The sequence below is a fragment of the Homo sapiens genome, chromosome 6 (genome assembly GCF_000001405.40).
Source record: "Homo sapiens chromosome 6, GRCh38.p14 Primary Assembly".
Lineage (NCBI taxonomy): Eukaryota > Metazoa > Chordata > Mammalia > Primates > Hominidae > Homo > Homo sapiens.
The window spans coordinates 105,600,016-105,611,252 of record NC_000006.12 but is presented as its reverse complement, the minus strand read 5'-3'; the positions used below and the strand labels follow the sequence as shown (position 1 = coordinate 105,611,252).

Genomic DNA, 11,237 nt, shown 5'->3' with positions numbered 1-11,237 from the left:
CCCAAGTAGCTGGGATTACAGGCATCCGCCACCACACCTGGCTAATTTTTATATTTTTAGTAGAGACAGGGTTTCACCATGTTGGCCAGGCTGGTCTCGAACTCCTGACCTCAGGTGATCTACCTGCCTCAGCCTCCCAAAGTGCTGGGATTACAGGCGTGAGCCACCACAGCCGGCCGAAACCAGCTTTTAAGTGAGCTCAGCATATTATAAAGGAATGAAAGCAATTAGAGCGTGGACTCTAAAGGTAGGTGAGACTTGCTGTTCCACTTAGAAACATAGAAACATAGGAAACTAAGGACTCGATGGGGACATCAATAGTAGGATGGCTTTTAAGAGGGCTGAAGTGTGTAAATATACACATTAAGCTTTGCAGCAACTCTGTGCCAAATCGAAGTTGTTGCAGACCTGGAATTTTAGTTTGGTAAAGGATAACTGTAGTTATTTTTTAAATAAAATGATTCATTAGAATTCTTTGGTTCTCTCATGATAATTTAGCAAGTTTGTCTCTTTCAGAAAGAAAAGTTTAAGTGGGGTTAATGGGTACAAAAGAATAGAAAGAATGAGTGAGACCTATTTGATAGCACAATAGGGTGACTATAGTCAATAATAACTTAATTGTACATTTTAACATAACTTAAAGAGTGTGATTGGATAAATGCTCAAGGGGATGGATACCTCATTCTCCATGATGTGCTTATTTCACATTGCATGCCTGTATCAAAACATCTCACGTATCCCATAAATATATACACCTACTATGTACCTACAAAAAATAAAAAATAAAACATTACAATTTGCAAATTAGAAAAAATAATTTTTTTTGAGACAGGGTCTCACTCTGTCACCCAGGCTGTAGTGCAGTGGCGTGATCTCAGCTCACTGCAACCTCCATCTCCCAGAATCAAGCAATCCTCCTGCCTCAGTCTTGTGAGTTGCTGGGGCTACACGCATGTGCCACCACAGCCCACTACTTTTTTTTTTTTTTGGTAGAGATGGGACTTCCTACGTTGCTCAGGCTCGTCTTGAACTCCTGAGTTCAAGTGATCCACCCACCTTGGCCTTTCAAAGTGCTGAGATTACAGGTGTGAGCCACCACACCTGGCCAAAATAATAAAATTTTAATCAGTAAAAAAAAAAAAAAAAAGAAAAGTGTAAATGTGTTCATCCAACAAAGCCTTTCTTTCACACATATGAAATATAAATAGATCCATTTAAATACGATATCCAGTTGAACCAGCCCTGAAGGGCTTTCTGAATTGGACATGTTCTGTCGCTACCAGTGGGGCTTCCTGGAAGCTGGCCCAGAGCTGGTCTTGTCCACGCAGAGGATCTGAAAGCACCCTGTGTCCTCGCCATCACCCTGCCCCAGGACAGCAACAGAAAGCACTGTCCCTATCAAAACAGTTCTGTTTAAATCCCGTCTGGAGGACCCATCCTGAGAGTGGCCGCCGGTGGAGTCAGAGGCAGACTCTTGCGTGTGTCTTTCCTTTCCTTTCTAGGGCTGATCCCTCATGTTTAAAGTAAGAGACTCTCAAAGTCAGGAAACTGGTCAGACGTCCAAACGATGTGGTGACGCTGAGGCCCCTGTGAACCGGAAACAGACATTTACTGTATCCCTTTCCAACTCAATCGCTTCCAAAGATCTACCTCTGGTGCTAAGGGGGGTTGGCTGCTGGCCCGAAGTCTAACAGACTATGCAGAGGCAATGCACAGTTCACGAAGGTCACTTTTATTTTTCATTTTTACTGTCTAAAGAGAGAGTTGGGTGTATAATGCTGGCACTTTTACAAGAGGCTGGTAAAGGGAGAGGAAGGAGGAAAAAGTAAGACTGTTTTTAATTCATCAAACTGTGGCTGATTTAGGAATAATAAACACAAGTCTGTTTCCTTGATTATTTTATAAATAGCAAATATTTGGGTAAGGAATTTGATAAGTGCACAGACTATAGGAATTGTTTACCAAAATGATGCGTCAGAAAAGAAAACAAACAATCCCCAAAAAACCCTGGAGTATGTCTGTGAGATTCTTCAGTCTGGTTCCCAAGGCCCTTAGTCATCATTCCCCTCATCTTTTGAACTTGATCAAAGCAACACGGGGGCCTCTGAGGGGAAAGATTGGTTCCATTATGCACAAGGCAATAAGGTAGTGCCCTTCCCAGCAGTTAATAGGCAAGAATGTTGTAAAATTCCATGTGGTTTTCAAATACCAAGGCGGAAGTTTTCTGGTTTATAATCTTCCTAGTCATCTTGACCAGCCTCGTGGCTTTCTCAGGCATTGCTGACTGTTTCCATGCTAAACCAAGCTAACTAGTCCAGAGATCTCCTGCCCAAGGCAGGCCGGACCACTGCCTGAGGCTTAATGAGAGTGGCCCTCAGTGCCCCCAACCCCACGCGTCTCCTCCAGACCCTGGCCGAAGTTCTGGGATTTCCACAGTGCCAAGTTACTGTAAGAGCCTCCGGACTGAGGCCACTGACCCAAACATACGTCAAATTGCATTTAAATGAGCAACACAGGCCCTGAGGAGAATAGGAGGGAAAATATAAACTGTGGTCACTGCATTCTTCTGATCTTTAAAAATTAAAATGGAAATATTTTGTCCATTTGGATTTCTGGGAACTTTAGAATGGGAAAGTTCTTCTGAAGTTCTTGTAAGTGGGGTATCCATTTTTTAATGGAATACCAACAGAAGAATAAGGAAGCGATGTTTTATTTGTTTATTCAACAAATATTTGTTGAGCATCTATAGTGGCTAAGGCTGTGACAGGTTCTGAGGAGAGAGTTTGGCACAGGGAGCTAAAGAAAATAAGAAATACATGCCATGAGAATCATGGTTCTCTCAAAGTGAGGAACTGCCTCACCATGGAAAAAGGAAAATGCAAGTGTATCATCTGCCTCCCAGGCAGCACTACGAGTCGCCCATTCCTTGTGATTAGTTTGTTAGCCTAGAACCTCAGAAAGAGGTCATCAAAGCCCACCCCAACCTTGCTCTGTCCAGTGGTTCCAGACCCTGGGAGTCACCAGAGACCAGCTCAGCACTGCTTGTTTCCATGCCTGAATTAGAGGTCAAAGTGTATTCTCTCTGCATCTATAAAGCACAATGTGCTTTGTGAGGGAAGAATGACTCCAGCCATGCAGCAGGGAAACCATAGCCCTTCAGAACACATGAGACTGTTTTGGTGTGGTCAGCTCTCTTGGAATGCCTCCTCAATAAAGCTTGTGATGTTGGTCCCCAATCCTACATCAAGAAAATATCTGCTTTTAACCACATTTGTCTCAGGGTCTTTGAGTTTCTTGATACAACCTTAATCCAAATCACAGGTTGTTCTGGCAGATTCAAGAACTCAGAACAGCTTAAATGTGGCCCGGGAAGGCAAAAGACTGGCAGTTTTATAACCAGTCAAGGAGAAGCAGGGAGTCTCTGGCAGCCCAGAAGGGGACAGGCACCATGCTGACAAGAGATGGGATATAAATAGAAAGGAAGAGGCTCTCAGTCAACATTCTTATCTTCACAATAAAGTCTTTTAACATGATAGGTATATGTTACACGTAAACCATTCATTTTCTCAAGAAAATAGATTGGATTTATAAAACACCTTTCTTAGTTACTCATTTTGAGTAGCTAAAAGAAAACACACGACTGCATCTAAGACTAGTTCTATTGGAGACCCTCTCTGTGGAAGTCTGACATCATGTAAATTTAAGTGGAGGTCAGAGCAGCTTTTAAACTTTGTAAAACCATGTTATAATTTTACAATACCTTTCATTTGAACATTTCTTCTCCCAGCACTTTTGCATGGGTGTAGATAATTTATGGCTTATTTTATGGGTAGAGAAACTGAAATGGCTAACCATTAACAGGTTGTGTTTTCTCAAAGTTACCCAGTAGGTAATTAGTAGATTTAAGAAAACAATCCAGGACTGCAAATTCCCAGTTTCTTGTTCTTTCCCCTTAGGCCTTTATACTTTAGATGATCCTAAATGCAATGCCATAAGAATGTAAAAAAACCTGTATTAGGTACCCTAAGGCACTATTACCTTCTTCTAAATTCTCAGATAATACCTTAATAGGGCATTTTAATGGCGAGCTTGATAGTTACTGTGTATGAATTTCTTTCCCATTTAATATTGCTCATAGAGTGAGGCAAGAGGGACTCTTGCCCTGGGCCCTTGGCTTTAGAGGACTTCCCATATCATAAGCACACACACTTATTAACCAACAAATGGATACTCAGTCCTGGTATCACACAGCCCAACATCTGACTGTGTGATTAATACTCTTCAGGCCCCAGGGAAACACTGTGGCACTTCTTTCGCCTGATGTCATCAGGACAGAAGGACTGTGACCAAATGCCATGAAGTCTTGCAGGCTGTGCCACTGCTGACAGCTGAGATGGGCGATGCTTTGGGATATGGGGAGTATTAGGTCGCAGGAGCACTTTGGTAAAGAAAAAGACAAATTAATTAACTTGTCAAGTCCTTTCAAATCGCAAAACCAAGTATCACTTCCCAGTAGTGCTGAGCTGCAATTTTCTTGCTCCTCTTCAACTTTGAATTGGTGGTTCCAGAAATATTTAAGAGTTAGTGTGGTATTTACCTTAGTTTCACATGGCGGCTGAGGAACAGTTTACAATATTAAGCACTTTGTGTTCTTTAATTTGTACATATGTATGGTTAAATGTGCCATTAGGGAATCGTGATATTCTTTACTTGAACATAAATATTAAAGCATATATTGTACAGACCTCAATTCATACAGTGGGCCCCACAAATACTATATGTGGATCTGTTCAGAGGTTATTACCTTACTGTGGGGCCTTGGACAGGTCATAACTTCTCTGGGCTTCTGGTTGCCCATTTGTAAAAGAAAAGCATAGGACTAGATGCTCTCTAATGTGTTTTTAAGCTCTATAAATTATTTTTAATTATTCTACTTATTTATAAATAAGCATATATTTCTTATAAGCCTTATATAAACTTATGTAAAACCTACCATAAATCTTATCTAAAACCTACTATAAACCCCATAAACCTAGTATGAAAATATAAACTCTTCTTTTACCTCATGTTGCCTATCCAGCCTCATTTATTCATTCATCAGACATTTATGAGGTACCAACTATATGTCAGATGTGGTGCTGTATTTGGGTGAGAACACAACAATGAATAAGTTACAGTTTATGTGTTCAAGCATGTCATAGACCAGAGGATGCATAATTAGATTACTGTCTTAGTTCATTGAGATTGCTATAACAAAGTATCTTAGGTCAGATAATTCATAAACAACAGAAATTTATCTCCACAGTTCTGGAGGCTGGGAAGTCCAAAATCAAGTTGTCACCAGATTCAGTGTCTCTTGAGGGCTAGCTCTCCAACTCACAGATGGCCGAAGGGGTGAACAAGTCCCCTTGGGCCTCTTTTATAAAGACACTAATTCCATTAATGAGGTTGGAGGCTTCATGACCTAATCACCTCTCAAAGGCCTTACCTCTTAATATCATCAATTTGGGGGTTAGATGTGAACTTTGCAGGGGAGAAAAACACTCCAAACATTGCAGTTACTATGCTCCAATATTCAAGTGCAGTGAGAGCAAAGCCTGCAGGACTAGGGGGCCCACAAGGGGCTGGGCAGCTTACCTACCCTGATGGACAGTGTGCCAGGGAAGGATGTTTGGAGAAGGCAGTATAGGAGTTGAATTTTAATGGATAATCAATAGTTAGGCCAGCCAAGAGAAAGGGGAAAATGTCTCAGGTAGAGAGGGCAACAGAAACGAAGGCACAGAGGTGACAGAGATCATTTAGCATGAGGAATGCAAACCTATTAGCATAGGATGCCCACAGAAGCGTGGGACTGAGCCTGGAGCAACAGGCAGAGGTGACACTGAGAGTCTTAGTTGGACTTCATTCTGTAAGGTGAGAAAAAACTCCAAAAGGTTATAAACGGGAATGACATAATAGGTATGGGTAATATATGGATCACAATTTGACAATGGTCCAAAAAGATAAATTAATGGAAGCCAATGAGAGGGACAATTTAGCAGGGTACAGACATCATCCAGGTGAGAGATCCTAGAGGCCTAGGGTGGGTCAGTGACAGCACAAATGGAGAAGGGGGCAGGACTGGAGATACATTTTGAAGAGTGACATGGACCCATTTGGATGACAACCAAATTCAGTGTCCATTTCTACATTGGGCCATCTGATTTTCCCCATGTGAACAGCAGAAAGAAAACTTTACCAGCTCTGTGTTCACAGATCTATGTCTTTAACATGATACTTACTTATTTTATACATTTGTACAAACACAAACTATTATTTTATTATGATGTGCAAGTTGAAAGAAGAACATGGATACCCTGCATTCCAAGAGGATCTTCATTGATCCTCATCAACTTCGGAAGCTGTTAACAAATTATGTCCAGTTCTCACTTTGTCATTTCTCATTCATCCTAATAGTGCTTTTGTGCAGGGGACGTTTGCACCATTCAACAGGACTCGTGCCATCCACCACACAGGTTTTCAGTTTTCAACAGAGAGAGCCTGTTCACAGCCAAGAATAGCAACAAGTCACTTCAATTTAGGCATCTGCAACTCTGTGTGTAAATAAGTCAGCAGCAGAAAATTGAGTTTTCTTATGAAAGGCAGATGCTTTTAAAATTCAAGGGGCAAGTTCTTGACACAGCAAAGGGGGTGACATTGTCCCGAATTATCTGGAAAGAACTGATGGCTGTTGGCAAGGGTTGGTCAGTCTGGGAAGGCAAGGGTTCCACCAGGGAATCAGCAAGCTGCCTTCAGGAAGCTCCAGAGGGAAGTCAGGTTGCAGTTCCAGCTAGAGCTCTGCTATCCAAACGGCATTTAAAGGGATCTGTGATTTACACAGATTTATGTAAGACTGAAGATACTTTATGAAATTTGTTCCTACAATTACATTTCCTAGGAATTACTAGGGATTAGAAAGTCACTATTCTCAGACACTCTGCCGCATAGTTTTCTGTAAACAGTTTATACAGAAATAAAGGAGAGGGAATGATCAGTTGCCAATTTGTGCAAGCTGTTCTGTGCAGAGTCTCACTATGGCCAATTCCTTGTGATTTATGTGCCAACTGCCTGTAGCCAGCTGGACAACAGTCATCCTGACTCTTTAGTGCTTTCAGAACATTTTAAAAGTAAGCCCTAATAAAAGGCTTCCTTTCTATTATCCCTGTCCTTTGGGATAAGAAAAATTCCCCACAGAAATTGTACACATTTTGCAAAAACCATAAATCCTGAGGGTGACATTTTAATGTCCCAAAGGCAATGCATGATAAATGTCTCTAATAAGTTAGAGCCTTTCTGGGATCCGTTGACCTTTGAAGTCTCTCCAGTAGATAGGTTTTGTCTCTTACTCAAAGCTACCATATATTGATTTTAATTTCTATTAACCCCAAAATTATGATCAAAAGTCTTCTGAAATGTTATTTGGGTTTTTTAATGCCCTGAAATGATGCTCAAATTCAGTGACATGAATCACTTTCTTTTTCTAGCACTAGAGAATTAAAAACCAACTATCACATTAGAAACTGTTTGGTGAGGAAGAGTATTATAGGATGCATATCTTAAATAAATTGTAATTTGATATATTAGAACTCAAATACACACATTATTTAATACTGTTACTGATATATTTCAGCTTACACATGCATGCACACAACTAGTTTTGTAGTTCACTAAAAGAATCCCCTAAGAATCTAAGATTCTTTATTAATAATCTTACTAATTACTAAGAATACTTGTTCTGCTATCAAAGTTGAATTTTCTAATCCAAAGAAGATAAGATGTATTTTATTGATTGCTGGTTTAGGGAGAATTTCAGCAGCACCAAGGGCTGCTGACCTCTTTGGCCTCTTTATTCCCTCCCCAGCCATGTACGTGCACTCCCCTATAGACTTTGGGGCACCAAATTTTTACCATGCTTAGGAATGGGACTCACCATAGCATGACACCTCTAAGTGGAAGTTCACATGGAGATCCTGACATCGAATCCATCAAAGAAAGCTTCTCATGTATCCGTCGAGCGTCTGAGGTCTGGGGATAACTGTTCTCCCAGAGGTTTTCTGACTGGGGCAGAAGACCCTCAAGACTTCCATACGGAGTGTTTGCAACATGTCAGGCAAAATTCACACAGGGATACGCAAGACAGACATGATCTCTGCCGTCCTGGAATGGGTCTTACCTTGAAGTTAAATGCCCTTTGGCCCTAACTGAAAGAACATTTTAATACCAAATTTTAAAAACTGAGCTACAGAACTATATAGTGCAATTCCATTTATGTAAAAAAAAAAAAAATACACAGAAGTAAACAAGTACATATGCGTACCCTTGTGTATGTTTTTGCAAGATTCCAAAGACCACAGTGTTACTGTGGGGTGGAGGACAGAAGGAAAGCACTTTTATTTTTAATAAAGAGTTCTCTGTGTTCTTTATTCTGTGTAAACCTATATAATTTTTAAAGTCTAGTTTTAAAAACTAAACATGATATCTTTATAAACAAACATGGAAAAGTAGTTGAGTAGAATAAAAAAGCAATTTATTAGTATATCAAGGAGATTCTATTCTCATAAAAAATAGATACATAGATAGTTAGATAGATAGATAGATAGATAGATAGATAGATAGATAGATAGATAGATAGAGCGAGCATCTGTGGGGAGAAAACTGAGGATATAAAGCAAATTGCTAATGAAAGTTATTCCTGGGGTTGTGATGAAAGGGAAACCCTCTTGTTTTCTATTACACATTTCTGTAACATTTGACTATTTTTTCAATGAGTATGAATTGATAATCAGAAAAAAACAAATTTTTAAAAATAAAAAATATTGCGATATGTTCTATGCCAAACAAGCTCAGCTAATTTATCTTCATTTAGGTGATAAAAATATCTTATGAAACATTAAAGAGAAAATATATATATATATATGTACATATATGTACATATGTATTTGTTGGTAAAAGGCTGCAAGCATAAACATGGACCCAGTCCTAGTTTTTCCAAATCCTCATGATTCTCTTACACCCTTTAAAGCTCTAAACGAGAAGGATTTCACATAATTCTTCAGGGTCAGTTTGGAGCCAGTCCCTCTGTGAGGTGTTCACAAGGGAAGGGCCTGGGTGAGGTGTGGCCCAGCAGCGGGCATGTGGACCCCAGAGAGGGGATCACTTGACCTTCCTCTGTGCCACCTTCCCAGTGATACCTCTAGGAAAGGATATTTATTTAGGCTGAGGAAAGAAGGTTCCTTTCTGTTTTTAACTCTTCAGCTTGACCTTGCACCCCAAAACTGTTGCCATCTTTTGAACCTCATCGACATGTAGCAAGCAGATTCAGTTTCATTTTACTCTCAGAGCACTCATTTGAAGGTTTTCATTTTGAATTGGCCCGAATCTGGGTCTCAGTCCCACACACAGCAGCAAGCTCTTGCATGATGGAGTTCGCCTTGGCAGGCTTGTCTGTACTTTCACTTCCCACCCAGATTCCTGAGCACAGACCAATGGGAGATTGCGTCAGCTTTGCCAAGGCAGACCAATGAAACAATCCTGAAATCCCCTTGGTGACACAGCATATGTGAAAGACTGTTTGTACCATATCGCATTGCTAAATTTAGAGACAGTCTGAGAAGAGGCAAAGAGAATGCAAGGACTAATCAATCCAAGAATACAGAAAACTTGCCTAGGCCAGTTAGTTAGTCTCCACTTATTTTGTAAAGCAGAGAGAGGAGGTGTTCATTTCAACCTCAGCCAGTTGCAACAAAGTCCTTGTTTCCATAAAGTTACTCTGGAGAAGGAAGTGCCTTCTAGGTGCTAGAAGCTGATGTCTGCCAAAAGCCCACACAAGATGTAAGCCGGGAAGAGTAATTGGTACCCTGAAAAACAAGCCGGTTATCCAACTCTCAGTTACTGACAATATCATGTGAGTGCTTATATGAGGGCAAATAATAAGCATGCACATAAAATCAAGAATCCCTAAAGGGACAAATATCAATAGCTAAAGTATTGTTTTAATTGTACTGAGGACATCATTTATGTTATTAATGAAGTATTTAGAGCACAGGCATCAGAGGGACCCTTAAATTCATGTTCAGAAATCAGACCCTTAGGATACGTTATCTCATAAGTTGCTGAAGTTTTAAATGGCTTTGACAGTGAAACCAACTAGAGCAACATTATCCACTTAAGACTGCTTGATATTTTAGAGGGTGTCATAGATTCTCTTTTCCAAGTAAAGATGCAAAAAAACTGTCTGGCCATGTTAACTAGCATTCGCTTTTAGAACAGCCAGTCTTCTCCTGAGTATCTCCAGATATTTTTATTTATAGAATGGTTTTCCCACTCCTTCTGAACTCTGGGACTCAAGAGCTACAATTTAAGAGGGTGTTCTTAAAGCTTTTCACAGTTTGTCATCTCACATTGCTTCACCTGATGAGGAGTCGATAGATAGCACCTCAAAAAGGTAGAAAGAAGCACAGATAGGGATTGGAATACACATGACAAAGGAGAACACAGAATGGAATTCCAAAACGCTTTGGGAGACCTGGAAATCCAAGTTATTCTGAGAGAAGACTGATGAAAAGGAATGCATACAAGCATAAGAACACCCACAAAAAGTAGCCCAGTGCTTAGTGACTGGGTTGCTCTTTCCCATCTACCAGTCAAGAAGGTGCTGTCCCCGGTTGAATACGTATGTACTGAAACAGAGGATTTCACATTCCAGAACCCATAATTCATCTCTGACTTAATCTCGAGCAAAGCATTGACGTGAATTACACAAACAGGAAAAAAGGTGGAGCCCAAATAGAAGAAAAATAAATAGTTCTATCAGTACAAAGGAATCATACAAAGAATCATCACAATAAATTTGATATAATTTTATAGCGTGTGTCTGTGTATTTAATTTTTATAACCAAAGAGATAAAGCATAGCAATTTTATCAATATCCCTTAATTTTTTTTTGGCACATGATTCTTTGAAAAATCAATCTACTCTGAAGTATGGATTTTCAGAAATATCCCTTTGGCATTGTTCTGATTTGCCTTCTCTACCCCAAAGTCCCTAACAATCAAAGACTGGGGTTTCATTTGTAGTTCTGTTGCTTTAGACACATATTTAAAATTAGAAGCAACCAGTGAATGAAATGAATTTGCCAATTTTTAAAAAATGCCATAATTCAAAATATGAGATGAGTCAAAGGGAGGCATTGCCCAGAA

The 11,237-nt window shown here is 40.0% G+C and overlaps 2 annotated features.

Moving 5' to 3' along the window:
* Nucleotides 9,231-10,430: an enhancer, noted in NCBI's record as "MED14-independent group 3 enhancer chr6:106048698-106049897 (GRCh37/hg19 assembly coordinates)". NCBI's record gives its function as "activates an origin of replication core promoter dependent on BRD2, BRD4, P300/CBP and CDK7 cofactors, and independent of MED14, by STARR-seq in HCT116 cells {active_cell/tissue: HCT116}" and the evidence as "EXISTENCE:reporter gene assay evidence [ECO:0000049][PMID:35650434]".
* Nucleotides 9,280-9,859: an enhancer, noted in NCBI's record as "active region_24874". NCBI's record gives its function as "activates an Ori minimal core promoter by ATAC-STARR-seq in GM12878 lymphoblastoid cells {active_cell/tissue: GM12878}" and the evidence as "EXISTENCE:reporter gene assay evidence [ECO:0000049][PMID:35858748]".